The sequence below is a fragment of the Homo sapiens genome, chromosome 1 (genome assembly GCF_000001405.40).
Source record: "Homo sapiens chromosome 1, GRCh38.p14 Primary Assembly".
In the NCBI taxonomy this organism is placed as follows: Eukaryota; Metazoa; Chordata; class Mammalia; order Primates; family Hominidae; genus Homo; species Homo sapiens.
Genome location: NC_000001.11, coordinates 155,161,874 through 155,185,478, shown reverse-complemented (window position 1 = coordinate 155,185,478; position 23,605 = coordinate 155,161,874). Strand labels below are relative to the sequence as shown.

The following is a 23,605-nucleotide window of genomic DNA, read 5'->3' as shown; positions in this document are numbered from 1 at the left end:
TTCTTAGCTGTCCGGGTGTGAAGTAAATCCTTGGGCAGTGATAACAGCCCAGAGTCAACAGGGTTGAGATAAGCAGAGGCTGGGTCAGATCCGGGCGCTGGCACCAGGCCCAGCCCCCTCCCTGACCCCGGCTGCCCCACCAGCCTGCTGCCCCTGGGGTGGGCTCCACAACACCCTGGGAATGGGGAAGTGGTTCTGGTTCCCTGACCCCTTTGGGCCCAGGCACGTTGCCTGTCCCTCGACCGCATTCCCCCAGGGCCTGTGCTGCAGGCCTGGAAGCCCTGATTGGGGCCTGCCACCAGCAGCCAGAGAGCTATGTTCCCTGGCAGCTGTGATGCGCTCAGGCCGGGCCAGGACACGTGTGGCAGGAGGCTTAGAGCACCTGGCCTGGGGCCTTCCTCTCTCAGGCACCAGATCCATTGGTTGCTCCTGCCTAGAACCACAGCCTAGCACCCTGCTCCCTCCCGCCTACCACACCCAGCACAGAAACTCACAGGAATGATTGCGCTCAGGGAAGGCAGAGATGTGCCTGGCATCACAGTTTATTGTTTATAAACCATGACAATAACAGCTGTTGCTCAGCACAGGCCTAGCAGAGCCCACTGCAGGGGGACGGCAGCGGGCACCAGAGGCCTTGCCTGGCCCAACCCAATGGGAACACCCAGACTCAGCTGGGTCCCCAAGGGAGACTTGGCACATTGGCATGGGTGTGGGACAGGTAAAGCATGCAAGAGGGAGAAGAGGGACATAAGGGGCATGCGGCTGCGGGGTGTTGGGACCCAAATAAATAAAGCAGGATGACAGGGTCCCCTTCCCCTCACCAGGAATGCCTGGACAGCGTCCAGCCCCAAAGCCTGCCTGTCCCAAGGCTGTAGTTCAGCATCAACAGGGCAGGGAGCTTGGCAGGGCAAGGGCAGAGCTGGAGATCATGCCCAGTGTTCCAGGTGCCCTCCCTCCCAATCAGCCTGGGGGGCACAGGACAGGGATGGAGAAGGGGCTCTCTCCATGGCTTGGGTAACATGCCAAAGGCAGGTCATAGGGCAGACTCAGTGGGGGTGGGGGCCTGGCTAACAAGCAATGGAGAGAACGGGGGCCATCCAGAGAGGTGGGCAGAAGAGAGCCCCTGGGTCAAGAGAAAACTGTGGGAAGACAGACACGGGAGAAGGAGCAGGGCCACATGGTAGGAGAGTTTGGGGGAGAAGCTGCCAGGGGGTAACAACCGGGTGCCAAGAGGTTTGGGGGCCAGGGCCCAGGAGGACCCCAGGTCTGCATGAGGGGCCTGGAAGGCTCAGTCCAGCTTGGCGAAGCCCCCAATGGTGACTTTCCTCTCAGGCTTAGTGCCCACTGGCTCCTGGAGCTGTACTGCGCCACCCCCGATGAAGCAAAAGGCAGGGCACACAGGCCCTGAGCAGTCCAGGGGGCACTCCAAGAGCCCACGGAAGGAAACAGCATCCAGGAAGGAAACCCGGCCCCGCTCATAGTCCAGGCAGATGCCCAGGCGGGGTGGCAGGGGCACTGTGCAGCCGGCTGTGGGGCCATCCCTCCCTGTCAGCCCTGCGTTTGAGCTTGCCCCCGACCCCAGCAGGATCTTGCCCATGCCAATGGTTAGGAAAGCGAAGGGTGGCGACGCCTCCACTGTGGCATCCTCGGCACCGCTGTCGTGCCCGCTGTCCGGGTCGTACCTGCAGAAGCGGGTGTTGGGGACGAGATTGTTGAGGGATGGAGTGACGGATGAGGTACCAGAGGGAGACGCTGGAAGGATGGAATGTTAAGGAGCAAGAGGTTGAAGGGATGGATTTTGGGTGTTGAGAAGAAAACGCTGAAGAGGCAGGGGTTAGAGTATAGGGTCAGGGGTTTGGGTTTGGTGGAAAGAGAGCACTGAGAGGAAAGCACATTGGCAAGAGAGGGGCAGGCGGACAGGAAAGACATGGCATTGGTATAGCCCGCGGAAAGGCATTGAGAAAAATGGTCTTGGGGAAATCATGCTGGGGAGATGGTTCTGAGGATTAGAGGACATTGGAAGAATCCGAGATTAGTGACTAAGAAGAGAAAGGATGTTGGGAAGGTGGGTGTCGGGAGAGAGATGAGGGTGGATTGGTGTCACAAATGAAGGGTGTTAGAGGTATGCGGGGTTGGGGACAATGGGGTTTAGGAGGGGTTTGTGTTGGGGAGAAAGCATTTTGAAGAAATAAGGTGTTGGGGGATAGAGTGCTGGGGAGAAGGCTTAGGATGCAAAGCATTAGTGGGAGGGTGTTAAATAGGGAGTTGGGGCCAGGCACAGTGGCTCACGCCTGTAATCCCAGCACTTTGGGAGGCCAAGGTGGGCGGATCACGAGGTCAGGAGATTGAGACCATCCTGGCTAACACGGTGAAAGCCCGTCTCTACTAAAAATACAAAAAATTAGCTGGGCATGGTGGCGGGTGCCTGTAGTCCCAGCTACTCGGGAGGCTGAGGCAGGAGAATGGTGTGAACCCGGGAGGTGGAGCTTGCAGTGAGCGGAGATCGCGCCGCTAGACTCCAGCCTGAGCGACAGAGCGAGACTCCATTTCAAAAAAAAAAAAAAACAGGGAGTTGGGGAGAGGAGGGTTATGGAGGTGGGATGTTTAAGGGAAGAATTTTTTTTTTTTTTTTTTTGAGAAGGAGTTTTGCTTTTGTCGCCCAGGCTGCAGTGCAATGACACAATCTTGGCTCACCGCAACCTCCACCTCCCGGGTTCAAGTGATTCTCCTGCCTCAGCCTCACGAGTAGCCGGGGTTACAGGCATGCGCTACCACGCCCAGCTATTTTTTTTGTATTTTTAGTAGAGATGGGGTCACTCCATGTTGGTCAAGCTGGTCTCGAACTCTCGACCTCCAGTGATTTGCCTGCCTCAGCCTCCCAAAGTGCTGGGATTACAGGCGTGAGCCACCGCATCCGGCTAAGGGAAGAATTTTAAGATACGGGTGAAGGAGGTCTTGGAGAGCAAAGGTTTTATGGAGAAGGTATGTTGGAAATGGAGTGTTAGGAAGAAAGGACACAGATGCTTGGAGAGATGGTGTGTTGATCCAGAGTGACAGATGGTTGGAAGGAAGCAGAGATGGCTCCCTCTTCTATCATCCCTTTCCCTGACCACACGACATGCTCTGAAAATCAGTCCTCAAAAGCCCTTTTGCTGAGCCCATGCGTCTCCTGGACACAGGCCTCCCAGCCTGGCTTCCAGGCTCCTACTACTTCCTCCTAATCCCCTCCCAGCCCCACCCTAGCAAGTCTGTGCTCCACTTGCCACCCCTTCTGTGCCCCTCACTCCCACCAGGACCCCCACACCCCATCCCTTCCAGAGGGGTCTGACCTGGGGCTGATCACATCGGGGGCACCCTGGAAACTTTCTTGAAGCTTGCTCTCCAGCCCGACGCCCACCTTGACCAAGTAGGAGGCTGGGTCTACGGCGCAGGCCCAGTAGCTGCGGCCCTGGGTCACAGCCACGTCGCCCAGGACCACATCCACACTCAGGTGGCAGCCGGTCAGCAGCCGGTCAGCAGCCAGCAGCAGGGGCAGCCCTGGAACACTCCGTACTGCTCGCTGGTCCTTGCTGATAGCCAGCCGCTCTCGGCTTGCGCCCCAGCGGCTATCGAGGAAGAAGTGCAGGACTGGAAGGAGGGAGAGGGTTGAGATGGAGCAAGAACTTCAGGGACAAACACTGGCACTGGGGGCTGTGAGACTGCAGAACAGGGAACGCGTTGCAAGGGGGTTCAGTCACCAGGAACAGGCAGGGGGTTCAGGAGAACAGGACATGGGAAACTGGAATGGGGGGCATGAGGAAAAAAGAAGGGGGCATTCCAAATGGGCGTGGGACCCCAGAGAGTTTTTGTGATGGCAGTGGGCACAGAAGTCAGTGCTCCGGACCTGGCTGACTCATGGGGCTCCCTCGAACCCCTTACTTGTGGCCAGCCCCATGGACAGTTCCCACTATTCTGTTCCACCTGGTGACATTCCCATCACCATCAATCTGTGCCTTCCAGCCCATACTCTGGGTTCACACCTGGCCCTTATACCCAGCCCCTATTTGGGTGGCAAGGCTTCCCTCTTATGCCCACCCCCTGGAGTCCGAACTATTTTCTAGTCACTTTAGTAACATTCTTGAGCCCTAACCATGAGCCGGACACTGTACTCAGACTCCCATTGATCGTCTCAAACCAGTTGAATTCTTGCAACTCTATGAGGTAAGCATTATCATTTTTTAAAAATATATATATGTTTTTGAGACGGAGTCTCACACTGTTCCCCAGGCTGGAGTGCAGTGGCGCAATCTTGGCTCACTGCAACCCCTGCCTCCCAGGTTCAAGCCATTCTCCTGCCTCAGCCTTCCAAGTAGCTGGGATTACAGGCGCCTGCAACCACACCCAGCTAATTATTTTCATTTTCATTTTTAGTAGAGACGGGGTTTCACTATGTTGGCCAGGCTGGTCTTGAACGCCTGACCTCGTGATCCATCCACCTCGGCCTCCCAAAGTGCTGGGATTACAGGCGTGAGCCACTGTGCCCAGCCAAAAATAATTTATTTTTTACGTATTTTATTTACTTATTTATTGAGACAGAGTTTCACTCTTGTTGCTCAGGCTGAAGTGCAATGGCGCGATCTCGGCTCACCGCAACCTCCGCCTCCTGGGTTCAAGCAATTCTCCTGCCTCAGCCTCCCAAGTAGCTGGGATTACAGGCATGCGCCACCACACCCAGCTAATGTTGTATTTTTAGTAGAGATGGGGTTTCTCCATGTTGGTCAGGCTGGTCTCAAACTCCCAACCTCAGGGGATCCACCCACCTTGGCCTCCCAAAGTGCTGGGATTACAGGTGTGAGCCACCTTGCCTGGCCTTTATTTATTTATTTATTTATTTATTTTTCCGAGACGTCGGAGTCTTGCTCTGTTGTCCAGGCTGGAGTCCAGTGGCGCGATCTCAGCTCACTGCAACCTCCGCCTCCCAGGTTCAAGCGATTCTCCTACCTCAGCCTCCCGAGTAGCTGGAATTGTAGGCACGCACCACCACGCCTGGCTAAGTTTTGTATTCCTAGTAGAGACGGGGTTTCACCATGTTGGCCAGGCTGGTCTCAAACTCTTGACCTTGTGATCCGCCCGCCTCGGCCTCCCAAAGTGCTGGGATTACAGGCATGAGCTACCTCGCCTGGCCTATTTATTTTTTTAGAGATCGGGTCTCGCTGTGTTGGCCAGGTTGGTCTTGAACTCCTGGCCTCAAGCAATCCTCCCTCCTTGGCCTCCCAAAGTGCTAGGATTACAGGCATGAGCCGCTGCACCTGGCCAGTATTATCGTTATCCCTACAGAAAAGGACTCTGAAGTTCAGAGAGGGTAAAAACTTGCCAGAAGCCACCCACACAGTTGGCAAGAGGCAGAGCTGGGATTTGAACCCAAGCAGTCTAGCTCCAGAGCTAGTGTGTGTGAGACCTACTATGTTATATGGCCTCTCTAGCGGCCACCGGAACCAACCGTCAGGGCCTAGGCCCTGGCATACCCCATGCCCTTTGCACGACCACCTGTGCCTGCCCACTCACCAGGTGCCGGGGGCGTGTGCAGGTGCACATCTTCACTGTATTCGCCGTAGCCGGCCTTGTTGCAGCCGCGGACACGCAGCACATACACAGAGCCCGTGTCGGGGTTCTCAAGCAGGGCACTGGTGCCCCTCACCTCCTCCCGCCGCTGCCAGCGGGTGGGGCCTGGCTGAGCAGGCACATCCGTGCGCCGGAACTCAACGGTATAGTGCCAGGCAGGTGGTGAATGGGGGGGCAGCCGCCAGCACAGGAAGATCTGATCATAGGCAAAGGTGCGCTGGGTGTCAATGACGGGGGCCTCAGGCACTGTTGGAAGAGACAGCGGGTGTCAGTCAGGGCCTGGCCACTGGCCTGGCATGGAGGGCAGGGGCAGGCAGGAAAAGGGAAAGCAGCGGGAGCCGGGGGGGTGAGTGTGGGTGAGAGGGAGCTGGGGAAGGGCTCATCTGGGAACTGGGCACAGGAGGGGTAGGGCAGGGCCCAAGAGAGAACGAGGCAGGAAAGCGCTGGGCTGGGGGTCAGGACACCTGTGTGCTAGTTCTGGGCTGCTGCTACCTCACTCTGGCCTGGAATAAGTCACTTCCCCTTTCTGGGCCTCAGTTTCCTCCCCTGTCAAATGAGGGTATCAGATCAGGTAAGTTCTGGGGGCCCTTGCAGCTCAGTTATTCTATGAATTAAGAGGAGCCCCAGGGAGGGGCAGGCAAAGGCCACTGGAGCCCACAGGCAAGAGGGCGCTGAGCAGGAAGGAAGGGGACCAGGCTCAGAAGAGAGATTTAGGAGGCAGCGAGGTGGAAAGTGGGGACAACAGAGGGACAGCAAAAGCTGAGGGCAGGGGTTGGAGGTCAAGGGAAAGGAAGTGCAAGGCCAGAGGGCAAGGGTCACAAGGACAAAAGGTCAGAAGGGCCAGGATTACGCAAGCGCCTGAAGAAGGCAGAAGGGAGACAGGGCATTGGTCCAGTGGGAGGACCACGAGGTCGGGGCAAGGCAGGAAAGAGAAGGAAGCAATGAGTGGTTGGCTGAGATGCGTGGGAGCAGCGGGGTGGGAAGGGGGCCCGGCGGCGGGCAGGGCCCCCGGGGCAGGGCCGCTGACTTGCCTGGGGTGCTCCGGAGCAGAGTCCGCGGTGGCCACAGCCTACAAACAAAGAGAGGGAGAAGCAGCGCTGAGCGCGGTAGGACGGTGTGGCAGGGTGGGCTGGGTGGGAGGAATGGCTGGCCAGGCCGGGCAGGAGGCCGGGGAGGTCCCCGGTAGGCACTGCCCCCCGGGCCCGCTGCTGGGGAGGAAGGGAAGAAGGCTCTGGTTGGGCATGGGGCCTGGCCATCTCCTTACCTCGCAGGAAGTTAAGCTCTGTCAGCAGCTTCATCTCACGTCCCACGTCGAGCTGGCAATGGCGGAAGGAGGAGCTGGCAGCTGGCCGGAATGTCTGGAGGGCTTCAGTGGCTCGGGCAATCCTGGGATGGGGGCAAGAAAGGGTCAGGCACTGCCATGTGGGCAGTCTCCCTTCCCCTCAATTCTGTCTTGCTTGCCCCTAGAGCCTTGGGAACTGCTTTGGGAGCTGGTATCAGTTTGGCCTCATGAGAATCCTTAGAATGCCAGTTCTCCACCTGGCAGTACTGTAGACATTGTCCTAGATGTTGGTCACATCCATGATGTCCCTGCCCCCCTAGGAGCCCATGCCCCTGAGTACCTGTTGTGCAGCTGCTTGGCGGCTTGCACAAAGCAAGGCTGGTCTGTTTCCTTAAGTACTTCCTGGGCATAGCCCACCAGACCTGAGCCATCCAGCAGGCTCCGGTGCTCCTGGATCTGGGCGCTGAGACGGGCCAGCCGCTCCTGCTGGCATTCTTCAATGGCCTGAAGCAGTGATGCCCGCTTCTCCTCCAGCACAGCCCCCAGCCCCCGCACCAGCTGCGACACCTCCTCCTTGGCCTGCTGACCACTCACCTGCCCAGGGAGCAACACCCAAAGGATGCGTGACTTACTATCTTCTTTTTGGAGGCAGCACTTGTGCTGGCCTCCTTGGATGCCACAGCATGGCTAAGGTCACAAGGGATCTGGGGAAATCCTACTCACCCATTCCTACAGGGCCTGGGCTCATGGCTGCAAAGGCACCTCTAGATGGACTCAACTCCTGGTCATTTGTGCCAACCTTCCCGGAACCCCACATCATAATCTCTGCCCCTTAGTGACTCATCCAAATGAACGAGGCCATGGCTACCCTAATGTCCACTTGGACTGCACTAATTAATGTCCACTGGCATCTATGCCATCCTTAGTTGTCCATCCCCATGTCAGCCAGCTCAAGCAACCTGGCAGAAGGTATCAGTCATCACCTCACTCTAGCACTGGGAATGCGTGACATCCTCGGTAGGCACCTGAGCCTGAGAGCATCTGAGCTACGCGTGGGGTTTTTTGAGCTATGCATGGGGTTTTTCGAGCACTCTCCTGAGCTATAGCCACCCTGCCCCCTCCTGCAGCCCAGGTACAGCCTGGCCTGGGGCACTGGTGTTCCTGCAAACCTGGTTTAACCAGAACCTGGACACCTCACGGGCTTCCTGAGCTAGCAACAAGGTGATTGGGTCATGATCACCCACACCCCCTTCCTGCCCCTACTCCCAGGCAGGGCCCAGGGCCTACCTCTGTGCCCTCCCTCACCTCGGTGTGCCTCACGGCCTCCTCCAGCTCACAGATCTGGGTCTGTACCGTGTCCTGGTTTCCCAGGATGTATGTCAGGCTCTTTGTCAGCTTGTCCTGAGGGGGAAGAAAGAGGTGGGCATCAAGCCCAGCTCTGCAGAAGCCAGCAGTTGGGAGGAGGTGCAAGAGGGTAAGAGTGTGAGTTAGCACTAGGGTTGGATAAGGGGGGTCCTTACCTTGAGGGCCTGGTAGGCACTGAGCACTGGTGTGATCTTGTGCCCGCTGTGGGTGCGCCGCACCCGGCAGAGTTGACATACCAGGCGTTGGCATGTCTTGCAGTAGTGGGTCACCTCTTCCTTGTGGTCTGGGCACATAAGGCCCTAGGGACACAAAGAACAATGTGATGGTCAGACAATGGTGTGGGTAAGGGTGCTATGCTACCACTACAGCAGTTTGGTGCCCTCCTCCACTGGCAAGATGGGAGTGGAGACATCCGCTGGTGGTGCTCCACAGTGCCACCTGGTGGTACATACTGGCATCAAAGAGCCTTTCCTGCAGTCTCCGGGCGGTGCCCATTTCACCAGCATTGCACCTCCCTTCATCTCTCTCATTGGGATATATGGTAATAACAGTAATAATGATGCCAATTAATCTTTGCCTGGTAGTTAATAATTAACCTTGTCCATCTTGTTTACTGCTGTATCTCCAACACCTAGAATAGCACCATGCACATAGGTGCTCAATAAATATTTGTTCAGTGAGTGAATGCACACAGACCTTTTCAGTGTGCAGGTAACACTTTTTAGTGAACAAACATTATCTCACACCATCCTCTCAGCAACCCTTTAGGTATGGACATTGCAGGGCAGATACTACCATCCCCCTACAGGGATGTAAATGAGATGGAGGCCCAAAGTTGTTGAATGATTTGTCCAGTGACTTTGTGACAGATTACAGAGATAGGTGCTTAGCATTGGAAAACCCTTCCCACTTCCTTTTGGAAACCCACAATGCCAGGCACCCCCACCCACCTGCAGCAGCATGTCCCTCCCTCCCCAGGCCTTGGAAGGGCTGGCTCACCTTGGGTCGGAAGGAGAGGGTAGGCAGGGTGGGCTCATGCTGGGCCTTCTGGGTGCCCCAGGGGTGGAAGAGCTTGAAGCACTCATTGCAGAAGGTGGCGCGGCACTCTGTGCAGCCCTTGGTGGCCTCTAGTGGTGGGGGCTTGCACAACTGGCACAGGATGGCACCTCCCACACTCACACTCTGGCGGTACCGCTCCACCACACGCTCCAGGGTCAGGTTCCGGAAAAGCCCTGCCAGACCCCGCTCCCCAAGCTCCACATCACCTTGGCAGGCTGGGCACGGGAACATGATCACTTGGGGGTGCAAAGCACCTCGCTTCCTCCCAGGGTATGTCCCAAAGCCTGTGGGTGAACCAGGGAGGTAGAGGACATGAGAGTTACAGCTGGCTGGGTGTGGGGAAGCCTGTTTAATTAAATTAGATTTTCATTGTGCCAGAGCTCAGCTCTCATTAGAGCCTGCGTAAGCAGTATCTCCACCCCCCAGAAAGACAGACAGATGCCTCTGACCAGTGATGGACTTCTTCCATCTTCCTGATGAATAGCTCAGCGTTCCCATCCCCACCCTACAGGCCCCAGTCCCACCTGACTTAAGCAGCCGGTCCAGGCGGTCTGGCTTGGGGAGAGTTCTGCGGGAGAGGCGGGGGCTGCGGGTGGAAGGGGTGGAGGCAGGAGAGGTGGGCTCGGAGCTGGGGTCCCCACCATGTCCTATGTAGCCCTGCTGGCCCAAGACCTCTCGGGCACAGGCCTGGCACACGTTGTGGGTACAGGGCAGCACCAGTGGCTGCTTGTACATCTCTTGACACACTGGGCACAGCAGTTCCTTCTCCATGTTCTTCATGCTGGTCTGTGGAGGGACCAGGAGGCTAGGTCAGCGCTTGGACACTTAGGCATACCTCAGCAGCCCCTTGGCTGCCCTTGGATACCCTAGGGGTCTGAGGAAGGAGCAAGACAAGCTACCTGCAGCTTTTCCAGAGCACCTGCCTTGGGCTGGTTCACAGACCTTCCCAGACCTCTGTCCCTTGCTTCTCTTTCCCCGCTGCAGAGCTAAAGGCCCAGAGGAGGGACGGTTGGAGCTTGTGCCTGCTCCAGCCTCAAGCCCAATCCCCATTTCTCCAGCTGCAGTAGCCCCAGCTGGCAGCCCCCTCACCTGCCTCCATCCCCCATCTCTGGGCAGCTTGCCCCTGGCATTTTTCTCAAGGACACCGCCCATTCTGCAGCTCCATGCAGACCCCCACTCCCTTCTCTAGCAGCACCCCCATGCCGTGATTCCTCCCGATAGCCAGGCGAGGTTGGCACTCCATCCTGCTCGCTCCATACGTCCTCCTGCCGCAGCTCCGGCCTGCGGCCACTCCAGCCTCCATTCCCCATCCTTCACTTCCCCATCGGTCTTACCAACCCATTCCCCTTCGCCCCCATCAGGCCCTCCCGCCCTCTCCCGCAGCGCAACCCGGTCAGCGGCACCCCCTTCTCCGAACTAGCGGGGGAATCAAGAGCCCCGCCTACTCGCCCCCTCCCCACCGGAAGTCCCCTCCCCCTCTTGGTGGCGAGAGTGGGGGTCCTCAGGCTATGCCCCACCCCCACACCTCACCTTGGTCCCTCTCTTCGCAGCCATCCCGGTCAGGGGCGCAGCTGACACAAAGGAGGGAGGAACAAGGAGGGGGGGAGGAAGTGGTGGGGGGGAACACGGTTGGCACCGCCCCTGGGAGAGCCAGGCACGGGTTGCCATGACAACCGCAGGCTCGGAAGCAGCCCTGAGTGGGGGTGCGTGGGGTGGGGTCTTGGGGAGGGGTCCAAATTGGGAACTGCACTGTGGGGCGGCTCCTACATCATCCCCCACCTGTCCTCAGTTTTCTTGGAAAATATCCAAGCTCACACGTCCCTCTTCTCATAACAGGGCCTTTCCCCTGAAGCCCCAGCCCCGGTGCACTGCTGGAGGCCACCCCAGCCCACCCGCTGCGTCTGGGCTGCTCCTAGCTCCTCCTCACGCTCCAGCACACCGACGCCTTCACGGCACTCACCTCCGGGCTGCTCCCGGGATTACCCTCTCATACCTGCATCCCGACCCTCCCAGCCGTTTCTGCCATCGCTAGCCCCCTGTCTACATCCCAGCATCTTCCTGGATCCCCACCTGTTCCAGGTCCCAGCTTGCCCCAGAACCCTATACGCCCCCTCCCCTTCCCTCGACCCCACCTTAACTCACACTGATGCGGACCAGTGCGTCCATGATGGAAGTGAAGGTCTGCATATCCTCACCCTCTGCCATGGCCCTACCGTGCCCGCCCGCCCCTGGGTGCCCGATCCCGGCTGCGGCTGCGAACCCCGGGCTTAATGCAGGAGCCCAGTGGGGGTGTGAGGAGGGCTGGGGGTTGAGGTGTCACTGCGCATGCTCCCGGGACCAGCCTCGAACAGCGCCCGTCGGGGTAGGGGGTGGGAAATAGTTCTCCCCACGTGGTTCTCGAAAGCCGGTCGGGGGGTTGGGGAATATGGAAAGGTATTTGACGGGGGAGCCATTTCTTACATTCTCATTTTTCATTGGCTCCTAATTTTACTCATATAAAGCGGGGGATTAGTTTCGGAGGAAAATGAGTTCCTGGTTGGGAGCACTAAATTTTAGGTTGGGAGATGTTGAGGCATGGGGCAGGGAGGTTTGAGGAACGTGCACTAGAGATGAAAGAAATGGCAAAGAAGACAGAGATGGGATAGATGCCACAGGCATGGGCCCAATGACTTAAAGAGATAAGTGCACCTTGTACAGAGTGGCAGCAGACGCACCAGGTACGAGGAAAGCCTGAGGACCAGGGCGGTGGCCGAGGATGCCCCCTCGACGCATTATTTCCTCCCTGTCGCAAGAGGGCGCTGCGTCCAGGCACTGAGAGGAAGAAAGAGGAGAACGCGAGGAGTAGCAAGTCCGCGGTAAGCGCTGACGCATGCGCATAGCTAACCGCACCCGGTTCAGCTCGCCTTTCTTGGCCAGAGGCGCCGGTTGGACTCACGGGCGGGGCATGATGGGTAACAGGACCGGTGGGGTCCCCAGGAAGTCCTAGAGGGGGTCGGGGTTTGGGTGGACAAGCTTTCCTCGTCCTCTCCCGACAGAGCTGACGTGTCCTGGGTTCCACCGGGAGCGGGCATTTCCACCGGACGGGAGGGTTCGGGGTGTCCGGGGCTGGGGAATACGTAGGGGTTGCCGCGCGGTGTGGGGAGTTGGGGCGTGTGGCTGCAGTCCCGGGAGTTCTTGGAGGGGGTCGGCCCACCGAGCTTCCGGACCGGCTGATCTGCCCGTAGCTTGCCGGAGGGAGGGCGGAGCCTGACTCTCCGTCCCTTCTCCCATCCCCTCCAGTGGTGGGTACGGGCACCTCGCTGGCGCTCTCCTCCCTCCTGTCCCTGCTGCTCTTTGCTGGGATGCAGATGTACAGCCGTCAGCTGGCCTCCACCGAGTGGCTCACCATCCAGGGCGGCCTGCTTGGTTCGGGTCTCTTCGTGTTCTCGCTCACTGTATCCTCCCTGCAGTTGGAGGGGGCGGGCCACGTAGGCATGTGCCCTTCCCCTTCCCCACACAGCTCTGTCCCCGTTGCACACCCTACTCCTTAACTCCCTCAACCAGGCCTTCAATAATCTGGAGAATCTTGTCTTTGGCAAAGGATTCCAAGCAAAGATCTTCCCTGAGAGTAAGTGAATATTGGAGCTTGAGTATTTGAACTTTCTCCTCTTTAACCTCCTGAAACATGATATTGAATTTCCAGATGCTTAGGTGAAAGGTTGTTAAGGAGAAATATATTTACTGAAGCTGTCTGAAGACAGATGACGCTTTTCGATTCTGCACCTTGTATAGCTCCTGGAGTTGGAGCTGGAAGAGAAGGCCTTTGAAAGCAAGAAACTTTGGTACCTTCTGGCCAGCTCCCAGGGAAGGTTTGAGGGGAACAGGCAAATTTGGGCTGATGTTTTGCATCTATTCGCTGGGAGGCGGTCCTTGTTCCCACCAGAAGAAGCAGCAGGACCAAGTTCACTATGGAGTTCTGATGTGAAGTTAACTCAATATTAGAGAATTCTACTTATTTGAGGGAATTGTGAAGAGCCTAAATACTAGAGGCACCAAATATCTATGGCAGCAGGAATCCTGACCAAATCAGAATAACTGTTAGATTATTTCCTGTTTGGAATAATTCTTGTTCAATTGCTCATGTAATCAAGAATTGATGATTCAGTTATTTATGGAGAATTAAGTTTATAAAGCAAATTAAGTGTCAAGGCCAGATTACTTAAGGAATGCCACGTGCTCAGAAATTCACAGCAGATGCAATCTCATGTAAAACCCTCATGTGGTAAAACAAAGATCTATCATGGTTGCCCTTAATCTTTTCTCTTTTTTTTTTTTTTTTTTTTTTGAGACAAGGCTTTACTCTGTCGCCTAGGCTGGAGTGCAGGGATGTGATCACTGAAGCCTTGACCTGGTCTCAAGCAATCTTCCCTCCTCAGTCTTACCAGTAGCTGGGACTACCAGTGAGTGCCACCACACCCAGCTACTGTTTTAAGTTTTTGTAGAGATGGGGTTTCACCACATTGCCCAGGCTGGTCTCGAACTCCTGGGCTCAAGTGATCCTCCTATTTCAGCCTCCCAGAGTGCTGGAATTACAGGTGTGAGCCACTGTGCCTGGCTGCCCTCATTTCTTTGCCCCCCTCTAGGACTTGCTTTCTCCGCATAGCCCTTTTGCAGGCTTCAGAGTTCTTTCCATCCAGTAGCCCCGGGACTTCTCTCTGTTAGGTTTTGTTTCCATATGTATTACCTTCACTTGCTTCTTTTTTTTTTTTTTTTTGAGATGGAGTCTCGCTCTGTCACCCATGCTGGAGTACAGTGGTGTGAACCCAGCTCACTGGAGCCTCTGCCTCCCAGGTTCAAGCGATTCTCCTGCCTCAGCCTCCCGAGTAGCTGGGATTACATGCGTGCGCCACCATAACTGGCTAATTTTTGTATTTTTGGTAGAGATAGGATTTCACCATGTTGGTTAGGCTGGTCTTGAACTCCTGACCTTAAGTGATCCACCCGTCTTGGCCTCCCAGAGTGCTGGGATTACAGGGGTGAGCCACTGTGCCTGGCTTTTCAGTTGCTTCTGAAAGAAACCATTGGCTGGGTGGGATGGCACACGCCTGTAATCCTAGCACTTTGGGAGGTGTAGGCTGGCAGATAGCTTGGGCCCAGGAATTCAAGACCAGCTTGGGCAACATAGAGAGACCCTGTCTCTCCAAAAAAATACAAAAATTAGCCGGGCATGGTGGTACGCACCTATAGTCCCAGGTACTCGGGAAGCTGAGGTGGGATGATCGCTTGAGCCCAGGAGATCAAGGCTGCAGTGAGCTGAAACTGCACCACTGCACTCCAGCCTGGGCGACAGAGTGAGATTCTGCCTCAAAAATAAAAAAAAATAATAAAAAAAGAAAAGATGCCATTGTGGTGGGGCAAAGTTCTTGGCCCACTTTGCCTTCTCTGCCCTCTCCACCTGGGCAGGTGGGGCCCTGTTTGTCTTTGCTTTTGTCCTCTCACCTTCTCTCCCATCATATTCCAGGTAACCTAAAATCCTTTCCTGCCCCCATGAAGAAGTAGATCCAAGCACTCTGCCCTCCAACCTGTGTCCAGGGAGCAAGGCCTTCAACTTCCACCACTGGTCACCCAGCTTAATGAATTGACTCTCATTGTCTGGCTTCTTTTGGAAAGGGTTTAACTGGGTTCCCCAAATGGGAACACACCTTGCCCTTCAGACTCTGTTGTCCATCACCTTTCCTTTTTCCTTTTATGGGAGGAAAGCCAGGGTAGGGAAGTTATGTGAGATATGGGGCAGAGCTGGTAAAAAAAAGCATACATCTACATCCATGTTCTTTTTTTTTTTTTTTTTTTTTGGAGACGGGGTCTCACTCTGTTGCCCAGGCTGGAGTGCAGTGGTGCGATCACAGTTCACTGCAACTTTGAACTTCCTGGCTCAAGGGTTCCTCCAACTTCAGCCTCCTGAATAGCTGGGACTACAGGCATGTGTACCACTGTACTACCTGGCTAAATTTTTTTTAATTCAATTTTTTTTTTTTTTAAGAGATGGGTCTCACTTTGTTGTTCAGGCTGGTCTCAAACTCCTGGGCTCAAGTGATCTGCCCACCTCAGCCTCCCGAAGTGCTGGGATTCCAGGTGCAAGCCACCACACTCAACCTCCTACCTCCATGTTCTGGGTATCATTAAGGTAATCAGAATCCTCCTGCTGTAGTCACGCTTACCCTTCTAAGCAGGTTCCCCAGGATTCAGAGAGCCCCGGATTTCTCCTGGACTCCATGTGCAGATGCCTAGTATTTCCATTCTGACCGTTGCCCTCCTTGTTCTTCTTGCCTCCCTAGTTCTCCTGTGCCTCCTGTTGGCTCTCTTTGCATCTGGCCTCATCCACCGAGTCTGTGTCACCACCTGGTATGTTCTTGACAGCTGGGTAAGGGGTGTAGCATTCCGTTTTTTGGCATTGGATCTTACTGTGATGGTGCCAGAGTTTTTCCTTCCACACCTACCTCTCTCTCTGTTCTCCCTCCCCGTTTTCCTAAACTTGAACTTGGATTCTTTCCTTGATGCTAGTGTCTTCCCTAGGAGGCACCAGGCTGGCAGATGCCCACTGGTGCCATGACCTTTCTGTCTTCACCATATAGCTTCATCTTCTCCATGGTTGGTCTGTACTACATCAACAAGATCTCCTCCACCCTGTACCAGGCAGCAGCTCCAGTCCTCACACCAGCCAAGGTCACAGGCAAGAGCAAGAAGAGAAACTGACCCTGAATGTTCAATAAAGTTGATTCTTTGTAGCTCTGTGAGTTGTGATATGTTGTGGGTGTCATCTACCAGTATCCAGCTTAGATGTACAGAATGTTAAGACATTTGGGCACCTTCTGTTTTCAGACCTTGGGAATAGTGAGGCTTTCCTTCCTCCCACATTAATTTTTACCAGTTATCTGTTGAATACTGTCAGTGCCACTGGAGTGGCATATACTTGTGTGAGTCTCATCATGGAAGAAAAGTACATGAATGTTCTGCAGTCGTGTTCTTTGGGGAAAGGGGTAAAGGCTGCAATGCAGGAAGTCCTGTCCGTCAGTACCAGAAGGGATCTTGGAGCAAAAGAGTAAAGGAAGGAAAGGTCCCGTATACCTACACTGTTTCACGGGGTTCCACGTGGTATCTTTGCCACTCCAGCTCCCTGCCTTAAGCAAATCAGCCCCCTGCTGCAAGTGCATAGGTGGGACTTCTCTCCTGATGCTGTCCCTGGGACCTATCTGTTCTACTTCAGCATGAACATATGGCTGTGTTTAGAAAGACTCCCCAGGTGATCAACTGCTCCTAGCCTGTTTGTTCTGGTGCTTTCATTTTTTCCCCATCTTGTAGCCAAGACAATGGGAACTTCCTAAATTGTAGCGAAGTATATAAAACAATAGGAGCAAGGACACCAACCTCTGAGCCCACCTTGATGGAAATGCAGGTGGCTACTTGCACCCTGCCCTGTCTGTGCTCTGTCATGAGGAACAACTCTATGCAGAGTGCCCGTCCTAGGTGCCGTCCCTCGTGCTGAATGGCGTGTGTTTTAGGGTATACACCTCATCTTGGTCAGCTTTGTTTTTTCCAGAGCCTGATAATGGACAATAAAGACTGGTGGGTTGGGCCAGCCATGGTGGCTCAAGCCAGTAATCCCAGCACTTTGGGAGGCTGAGGTGGGTGGATCACTTGAGGTCAGGAGTTTGAGACTAGCCTGGCCAACATGGGGAACCCCATCTCTATGAAAAATGCAAAAATTAGCCAGGTGTGGTGGTGTGTGCCTGTAGTCCCAGCTACTTGGGAGGCTGAGGCACGATAATCGCTTGAACCCAGGAGGTGGAGGTTGCAGTGGGTGGAGATTGCGCCACTGCACTCCAACCTGAACGACAGTGAAACTCTGTCTCAAAAAAAAAAAAGGTGGGTTAGTTGAATGAAATAACCTGCCCTGACAAACAAAATCCTGTCCATAGGTGCCTGAGTTAGGGAATAAGACTCAGTGAAGATGAAGAAGTGAGTAGAGGAGTTTTGGTCAGGGATTAGAGGCCACCCCACTCCACTCCCATCTTTGGCTAGAACACTTGCCCTTCCGTAACCTGCCCAAGGAGGATGTGCTAGGCAGTTTATCCAAAACGCCTGCAGGGGGCGCTATGGACTCACGTCTGCCTCCTGGAAGCCAGCGGCACCCTCCTAGGCAAGCTATCCCTGAGGGCCGGGAGTGGCGTTAGTTGCTGCTGGGTCCGTCAGTGTGGAAGCCAGCCTTCTTAGAAGACTCGGAAGACTGGTCCATTTGGAAGGACTGAATCCTGAATTAAGCCTCTTCTCCCCCTAGGCTGGGAGTGGAGGCGGAAAGTTCAGTGGAGACCAGAGAGAGCCTCCCTGAGAAGATCTGGCTCTGACTCACCCGTACTGATGGTTGGGGAGGGCGGTGGGTTGTGATATATGAGACCCTCTGGGAGAGGACGAGGTTGTCCAAGTTGGTCTCTGGGCCTAAAGGGAGGCTGGATTGGCTCTAAGTCTCACTGTCAAACCTCGACTTTGTCCTAACCCGTGGGAGCACTGGGCAGAGGGTCAGGTCCCAGTCCAGGTGAGCACAGACACAGCCTAGGGCGGGGAGGGGGGAAGGGAGTGGCGGGGGACGGGATGGGGGGAGACTGGGGATCCGGCCACCAGAGGGCATCATGCCTTCCACAACGAGAGCTGGCTTTGGTGGGGACCAGCAGCGAGCATCATCTCTATGGCTAGGGGAGGGTGGGGAGGAGCCGGAGAGCAGGTGCCAGGGCAGTGCCAAGGGATCTGAGCACCTACTGCCACCCACTGCGTAGGCACCATGGGCAGCATGTGGCCCAGGAATAATGACGCCTTCCTCAGGGAATGAGTACATTTACAAGGCAGGTTGGCGCCAACGTCGCAGCTCTGCACCCTGCCTGGTTGCAGGCTGCCTGCACCTGACCTGCCAATTAACCCTGGCAGGGGTATCACAGCCACCTAATCACCATCATTAAGTAAGGGGGCGTGAGGACTCCATGGCTGCCAGAGCCCTGAGGGTGAGAAGGGCAAAGGTGCTAACCTCTTGGCCCCTGGACTTCTGGGGCTCAGTTCCACCCCGGAGGAGGCGGTAGGCCTGAGGGAGAGAGAGGCGGTAGGCCTGAGGGAAAGAGAGGCGTCCCCGCCCCTGGGGGACAGAGGGAAGCCAGATGTTTCCTCCTGCTCCCTCACACGTGGCCCTAACACCCGCCGGCGCCCGCAGCCAGCTCCGGAAACAGGAGTAAATAATGCAGGGGATGGGGCTGCGGGGAGTGCGGGAGGGCGCTCGCTCTGCGGGTTCCTGGGGGCAGAAGGGATGCCTCCAGAGAAAAGGGAGAGCAGTAGGAATGTGAGACCAAGGGCAAGGAGGCTGACTCCCTGAGGACTGGCACTTAGGCCGTGCTGGCGGGTCAGGGCGGGAGGGTGGGGGCGCCCAGGGCAGGCAGGGAGGGGGAGTCTGCGCCAGGCCTTGGCTCCAGCCCTTTCCGGCCCTTATTGTCCTTGGTGAGAACAGGACGCTGTCCCGTTCCCACTGCCGGGCTCCCCCAGCTCTGCTCCCCAGGGGCTGGGGAAGGATGTTGGGAAACAAGAGAGAGCCAGAGACCCGTAGAGACAGAGATGCTGAGAGACACAGAGACAGATACAAAGGGGAAGGTTCAGTCAAAAGCGGGCATTGAAGCTTATTATGAGCCCAGTGGGGCCTGAGCGCTGTGGGAACTGCGAAAGAATGGGAAGCCTGGAGGCCCTGCCCTCAGGGACCTCCGGGCTGGCCTGCCCTGTGCGCACTCCTCCTTGACTTAGGCTTACTAGGATCTGCCTCCCAAGCAAACAATGGTGGGACTCTCACATAGGCACAGTTGGGGCACTTAATAGCTCTGCTTTAGGTACCTTTCTTTGCTTTTCTCCCAGCAGCCTGGAAGTTTCTCAGGGGGCAGTGCCGAGATCGGGATCAGGTTCCCAAAGCCACTCCCGCACCTCCCACCCCCAGGGCTGAAAGCCAGCTGGCCACATAGAGGTTGCTCTGTAAATGCTATTTGGTTGAGTTCCTGCAGAGGCAGAGAGAGAAGCCCCCCAGCTGGCCTTATGGTTAGGCATCCCATCACCTCGGGTGAAGGGTCAGGTGGAGGAGGCCTGACCACTGGCAGGAGGCAGAGTTCAGAGCTTTGGGCAGGGTTTGAAGAGCCAGCTGTTCCCACCCCAGCCTCTGCAGGGGGCCAGGGGCAGGGTGGGAAACGACCCACAGATCTCAGCAACTGCTCCCTTGGAGACACGACTTCTGAAAGATGGAGAGAAGTCTAGGTCCCTACTGTCTGTGGAGGTTTCAGATACACTTGGAAATGAGAAAAACAGGCACGTTTACGTTTGATAAATTAACACATTTTTTTTTTGGAAGAGCGTTTTTCCCAGGCTGGTCTCAAACTCCTGGCCCCAAGTAATCTTCCTGTCTAGGCCTCCCAAAGTGCTGGGATTATAGGCGGGAGCCACTGCACCCAGCCAGATTAACACTTTTTCACACAAAATTACAATACAATTATGCTATCCACAAGATTTATTTTTGTTTTTATTTTTTTTGAGACGGAGTTTTGCTTTTGTTGCCCAGGCTGGAGTGCAATGGCACTATCTCGGCTCACCGCAACCTTCATCTGCCTCCTGGGTTCAAGTGATTCTCCTGCCTAAGTCTCCCAAGTAGCTGGGATTATAGGCATGCGCCACCACGCCTGGCTAATTTTGTTGCATTTTTAGTAGAGATGGAGTTTCACCATGTTGGCCAGGCTGGTCTCGAACTCCTGACCTCAGGTGATCAGCCCATCTCGGCCTCCCAAAGTGCTGGGATTACAGGTGTGAGCCACTGCACCTGGCTATCCACAAGATCATTACAGAATTTATAGAAAATTTTCCTTTACAGGGTACTGCAGGTCCTATTTTATAAAGTCTTGTGACAGGAACTTAAACAAATTTACAAGAAAAAAACAAACAACCCTATTAAAAAATGGGCAAAGGGGCTGGGCTTGGTGTCTCACGCCTGCAATCCCAGCACTTGGGGAGGCTGAGGCAGGCGGATCACGAGGTCAGGAGTTCGAGACCAGCCTGACCAACATGGTGAAACCCTATCTCTACTGAAAATACAAAAATTAGCCAGGCGTGGTGGTGCGTGCCTGTAATCCCAGCTACTCAGGAGGCCGAGGCAGGAGAATCGCTTGAACTCGGGAGGTGGAGGTTGCAGTGAGTCGAGATTGAGCCACCGCACTCCAGCCTGGATGACAGAGCCAGACTCTGTCTCAAAAAAAAAAAAAAAAGCCTCCAAAAGTGGGCAAAAGACATGAACAGACACTTCTCAAAAGAAGACATACATGTGACCAAAAAACATATGAAAAAAAGCTTAACATCACTGATCATTAGAAAAATGCAAATCAAAACCACAATGACACCATCTCTTGCCACTCAGAATGGCTATTAAAAAGTCAAAAAACGTCCGGGCATAGTGGGTCACGCCTGTAATCCCAGCACTTTGGGAGGCCAAGGCGGGTGGATGTCTTGAGGTCAGGAGTTCCAGATTAGCTTGACCAACATGGTGAAACCCTGTCTCTACTAAAAATAAAAAATTAGCCAGGCATGGTGGTGTGCGCCTGTAATCCCAGCTACTCGGGAGGCTGAGGCAGGAGAATCGCTTGAACTCAGGAGGCAGAGGTTGCAGTGAGCTGAGGTCGTGCCACTGCACTCCAGCCTGGGTGACAGAGCGAGACTCTGTCTAAAAAAAAAAAAAAAAAAAAAAAAAAAAAGTCAAAAAACAACAGATGCAGGCAAGGTTGCGGAGAAAAAGGAACGTTTTTACTCTGTTGGTGGGAGTGAAAATTGGTTCAACCATTGTGGAAGACAGTGTGGTTATTCTTCAAAGACCCAGAGGCAGAAATACTATTTGACTCAGCAATCCCATTACTGGGTATATATACCCAAACGAATAGAAGTCATTCTGTTATAAAGATACATGCACGTGTATATTCATTGCAGCACTATTCACAATAACAATGACATGGAATCAACCTACATGCCCATCAATGATAGACTGGATAAAGAAAATATACACCATGGAGGTACATATACACCATGGAATACTATGTTTATATACGCCATGGAATACTATATACACCATGGTACATATACACCATGGAATACTATGCAGCCATAAAAAGGAATGAGATCATGTCCTTTGCAGGGACATGGATGGAGTTGGAAGTCATTATCCTCAGCAAACTAACACAGGGACAGAAAACCAAACACCACATGCTCTCACTTATAAGTGGGAGCTGAACGATGAGAACACACGGACACATGGTGGGAACCACACCACTGGGGTCTTTCAGAGGGATAGGGGTAGGGGAGGGAGAGCATCAGGAAGAATAGCTGATGGATACTGGGCTTAGTACCTGGGTGATGGGATGATCTGTGTAGCAAACCACCACGGCACACATTTACTTATGTAACAAACCTGCACATCCTGCACATGTACCCCAAACTTAAAATAAAAGTTGAAAAAAAAGAAATGTCTTCTGATAATAGGCATACCAGATTCATTGTACTATTCTTTCTACTTGTGTGTGTGTGTGTGTGTGTGTGTGTGTGTATAGCTATTCTCCTGCCTCAGCTTCCCAAAGTGCTGGGATTACAGGCATGAGCCACCGAACTTGGCCCTCCTTTTGTATATATTTGAAAATTCCATAATAAAAGTTAAATCAATTTTATGGTAAGTCCTTACATTCTGTTCTATCAGAGTAACAGCGTGACTGTAACCACACTTGGAGATAACATCAGAAGTCTGAATTTGAGGCCTTATGTGTCAATAAGGCCTGAGCCAAATGGCCCTCATGGTCTGTGAGGAGCCCTTCTCTGAGAACTCCTCTTTTTTTTTCTTGAGACGGAGTCTCCCTCTGTCGCCCAGGCTGGAGTGCAGTGGTGCAATCTCGGCTCGCCACAACCTCCACCTCCCGAGTTCAAGCAATTCTCCTGCCTCAACCTCCTGAGTAGCTGGAATTACAGGCGTGCACCACCACACCCGGCTAATTTTTGTATTTTTAGTAGAGATGGGGTTTTACCATGTTGGCCAGGCTGATCTCGAACTCCTGACCTCAGGTGATCCATGTGCCTTGGCCTCCCAAAGTGCTAGGATTACAGGCGTAAGCCACCGCGCCCAGCTGAGAACTCTTATATCAGGTAAGTTGGGAGAGAAGAGCTGGCAAAGGTTACCCTATCCATTTTAGGAAGAGGCTGCACTGTCAGAAGGAGCTGGAGGGCAGGATTCCTGTCCATAGAGGCCCAGATCCTACAGAAATAAACCCTTCCACATTCCCCTTTTCTGGGTTAAGAGTTACTATGGGGGCCAGGTGTGGTGGCTTATACCTGTAATCCCAGTACTCTGGGCGGCCTAGGCGGGCGGATCACCTGAGGTCAGGAGTTTGAGACAAGCCTGGCTAACATGGTGAAACCCCATCTCTACCTAAAATACAAAAATTAGCTGGGTGTGGTGATACATGCCTGTAATCCCAGCTATTCGGGAGATTGAGGGAGGCGAATAGCTTGAACCCAGAAAGTGGAGGTTGCAGCAAGCGGAGATTGTGCCACTGCACTCCAGCCTGGGCTACAGAGGAAGACTCTGTCTGGAAAAAAAAAAAAAAAAAAGAGTTACCATGGGGCCTCAGGATTTTTCAAGGAAATTGCTGAAACCGAGGTATGTGTATGTCTGTGTGTGAGGGTACTAGGAGTGACGCCCCAGGGAGACCCCTCCTTTCTGTTTTCAGCCTCCGGCCCCAGGGGGAAAGAGCCCACTTCTTGAAATCAGACAGACTTAATTTCTAGTTTTGGCCCTGACACTTACCAGGTGAGGGTCCTTGGGCAAGGTGAGTGATCCCTCTGCACATTAAGTTCCTTAACTGTAAAATGGGGATAATAATACCTACCTCAGTGTGTGGTAACGTGGATTTTAATTAAATAACAGTGCAGAAGAGCCTAGCATTGCACTTGACATACTAGGCATTTGACAAACATTATTTCTTCCCTTTGTGATGACAACAACTACCTTTAATTGAACATTTACCACTTGCCAGTCACTGTACTCATGCTTTATAGATATCCTCAATTTTAACCCTTCCACCAACCTCATAAGAGCAATATTCTTACTTCATGTGATGGTTAATTTTATGTGTCAAGTTGGCTGTCACAGTGCAGTGACAGAATGTGGTCATTCTTTTGGATATTTCAGTGACAGTGTTTTGGGATGAGATTAGTATTTAAGGC

General features: G+C 54.1%; 2 protein-coding genes across 14 annotated transcripts, besides 9 other annotated features; one reads left to right on the top strand and one right to left on the bottom strand.

Annotated features, from left to right (window-relative positions):
- Positions 179-686: an enhancer, noted in NCBI's record as "H3K4me1 hESC enhancer chr1:155157269-155157776 (GRCh37/hg19 assembly coordinates)". NCBI's record gives its function as "activates a minimal SCP1, AML or CMV promoter by ChIP-STARR-seq in naive H9 embryonic stem cells {active_cell/tissue: H9 hESC(naive)}" and the evidence as "EXISTENCE:reporter gene assay evidence [ECO:0000049][PMID:30033119]".
- TRIM46 (tripartite motif containing 46) lies at positions 508-11,630 on the bottom strand. 13 transcript variants are annotated; one of them, NR_176037.1, is made up of 12 exons: positions 11,450-11,630; positions 10,838-10,878; positions 9,832-10,093; positions 9,248-9,591; positions 8,404-8,547; positions 8,189-8,284; positions 7,224-7,477; positions 6,866-6,987; positions 6,633-6,670; positions 5,545-5,847; positions 3,330-3,627; positions 509-1,682 (listed from the first exon to the last, which is right to left on the bottom strand). NR_176037.1 is itself a non-coding variant. In NM_001406247.1 (11 exons), the coding sequence occupies exons 2-11, from the start codon at positions 10,859-10,861 to the stop codon at positions 1,289-1,291; spliced, it is 2,241 nt and encodes a 746-aa protein (NP_001393176.1). In that variant the 5' UTR covers positions 10,862-10,878; positions 11,450-11,630; the 3' UTR covers positions 509-1,288. The 13 variants fall into 13 exon arrangements, 9 of the variants coding, with proteins under 9 accessions (NP_001243530.1, NP_001393176.1, NP_001393174.1 ...); NR_104150.3 differs by lacking the exon at positions 10,838-10,878 and adding an exon at positions 4,800-5,044; NR_046329.2 differs by lacking the exon at positions 11,450-11,630 and adding an exon at positions 10,207-10,293 and having other exon boundaries at positions 10,511-10,885.
- Positions 11,092-11,386: a silencer, noted in NCBI's record as "tiled region #7923; HepG2 Repressive non-DNase unmatched - State 23:Low, and K562 Repressive non-DNase unmatched - State 8:EnhW". NCBI's record gives its function as "represses a minimal TATA promoter and a strong SV40 promoter by Sharpr-MPRA in HepG2 and K562 cells {active_cell/tissue: HepG2 | K562}" and the evidence as "EXISTENCE:reporter gene assay evidence [ECO:0000049][PMID:27701403]".
- Positions 11,395-11,903: an enhancer, noted in NCBI's record as "H3K27ac-H3K4me1 hESC enhancer chr1:155146052-155146560 (GRCh37/hg19 assembly coordinates)". NCBI's record gives its function as "activates a minimal SCP1, AML or CMV promoter by ChIP-STARR-seq in primed H9 embryonic stem cells {active_cell/tissue: H9 hESC(primed)}" and the evidence as "EXISTENCE:reporter gene assay evidence [ECO:0000049][PMID:30033119]".
- Positions 11,556-11,645: a silencer, noted in NCBI's record as "silent region_1396". NCBI's record gives its function as "represses an Ori minimal core promoter by ATAC-STARR-seq in GM12878 lymphoblastoid cells {active_cell/tissue: GM12878}" and the evidence as "EXISTENCE:reporter gene assay evidence [ECO:0000049][PMID:35858748]".
- Positions 11,904-12,412: an enhancer, noted in NCBI's record as "H3K27ac-H3K4me1 hESC enhancer chr1:155145543-155146051 (GRCh37/hg19 assembly coordinates)". NCBI's record gives its function as "activates a minimal SCP1, AML or CMV promoter by ChIP-STARR-seq in naive H9 embryonic stem cells {active_cell/tissue: H9 hESC(naive)}" and the evidence as "EXISTENCE:reporter gene assay evidence [ECO:0000049][PMID:30033119]".
- Positions 11,976-12,025: an enhancer, noted in NCBI's record as "active region_1811". NCBI's record gives its function as "activates an Ori minimal core promoter by ATAC-STARR-seq in GM12878 lymphoblastoid cells {active_cell/tissue: GM12878}" and the evidence as "EXISTENCE:reporter gene assay evidence [ECO:0000049][PMID:35858748]".
- KRTCAP2 (keratinocyte associated protein 2) lies at positions 12,175-16,071 on the top strand. Its single transcript, NM_173852.4, has 5 exons — positions 12,175-12,258; positions 12,587-12,741; positions 12,851-12,914; positions 15,622-15,688; positions 15,919-16,071. Exons 1-5 carry the CDS (start codon positions 12,255-12,257, stop codon positions 16,037-16,039), a joined length of 411 nt encoding a protein of 136 aa, NP_776251.2. The 5' UTR covers positions 12,175-12,254; the 3' UTR covers positions 16,040-16,071.
- Positions 12,226-12,325: an enhancer, noted in NCBI's record as "active region_1810". NCBI's record gives its function as "activates an Ori minimal core promoter by ATAC-STARR-seq in GM12878 lymphoblastoid cells {active_cell/tissue: GM12878}" and the evidence as "EXISTENCE:reporter gene assay evidence [ECO:0000049][PMID:35858748]".
- Positions 12,516-12,795: an enhancer, noted in NCBI's record as "active region_1809". NCBI's record gives its function as "activates an Ori minimal core promoter by ATAC-STARR-seq in GM12878 lymphoblastoid cells {active_cell/tissue: GM12878}" and the evidence as "EXISTENCE:reporter gene assay evidence [ECO:0000049][PMID:35858748]".
- Positions 17,864-17,923: a silencer, noted in NCBI's record as "silent region_1395". NCBI's record gives its function as "represses an Ori minimal core promoter by ATAC-STARR-seq in GM12878 lymphoblastoid cells {active_cell/tissue: GM12878}" and the evidence as "EXISTENCE:reporter gene assay evidence [ECO:0000049][PMID:35858748]".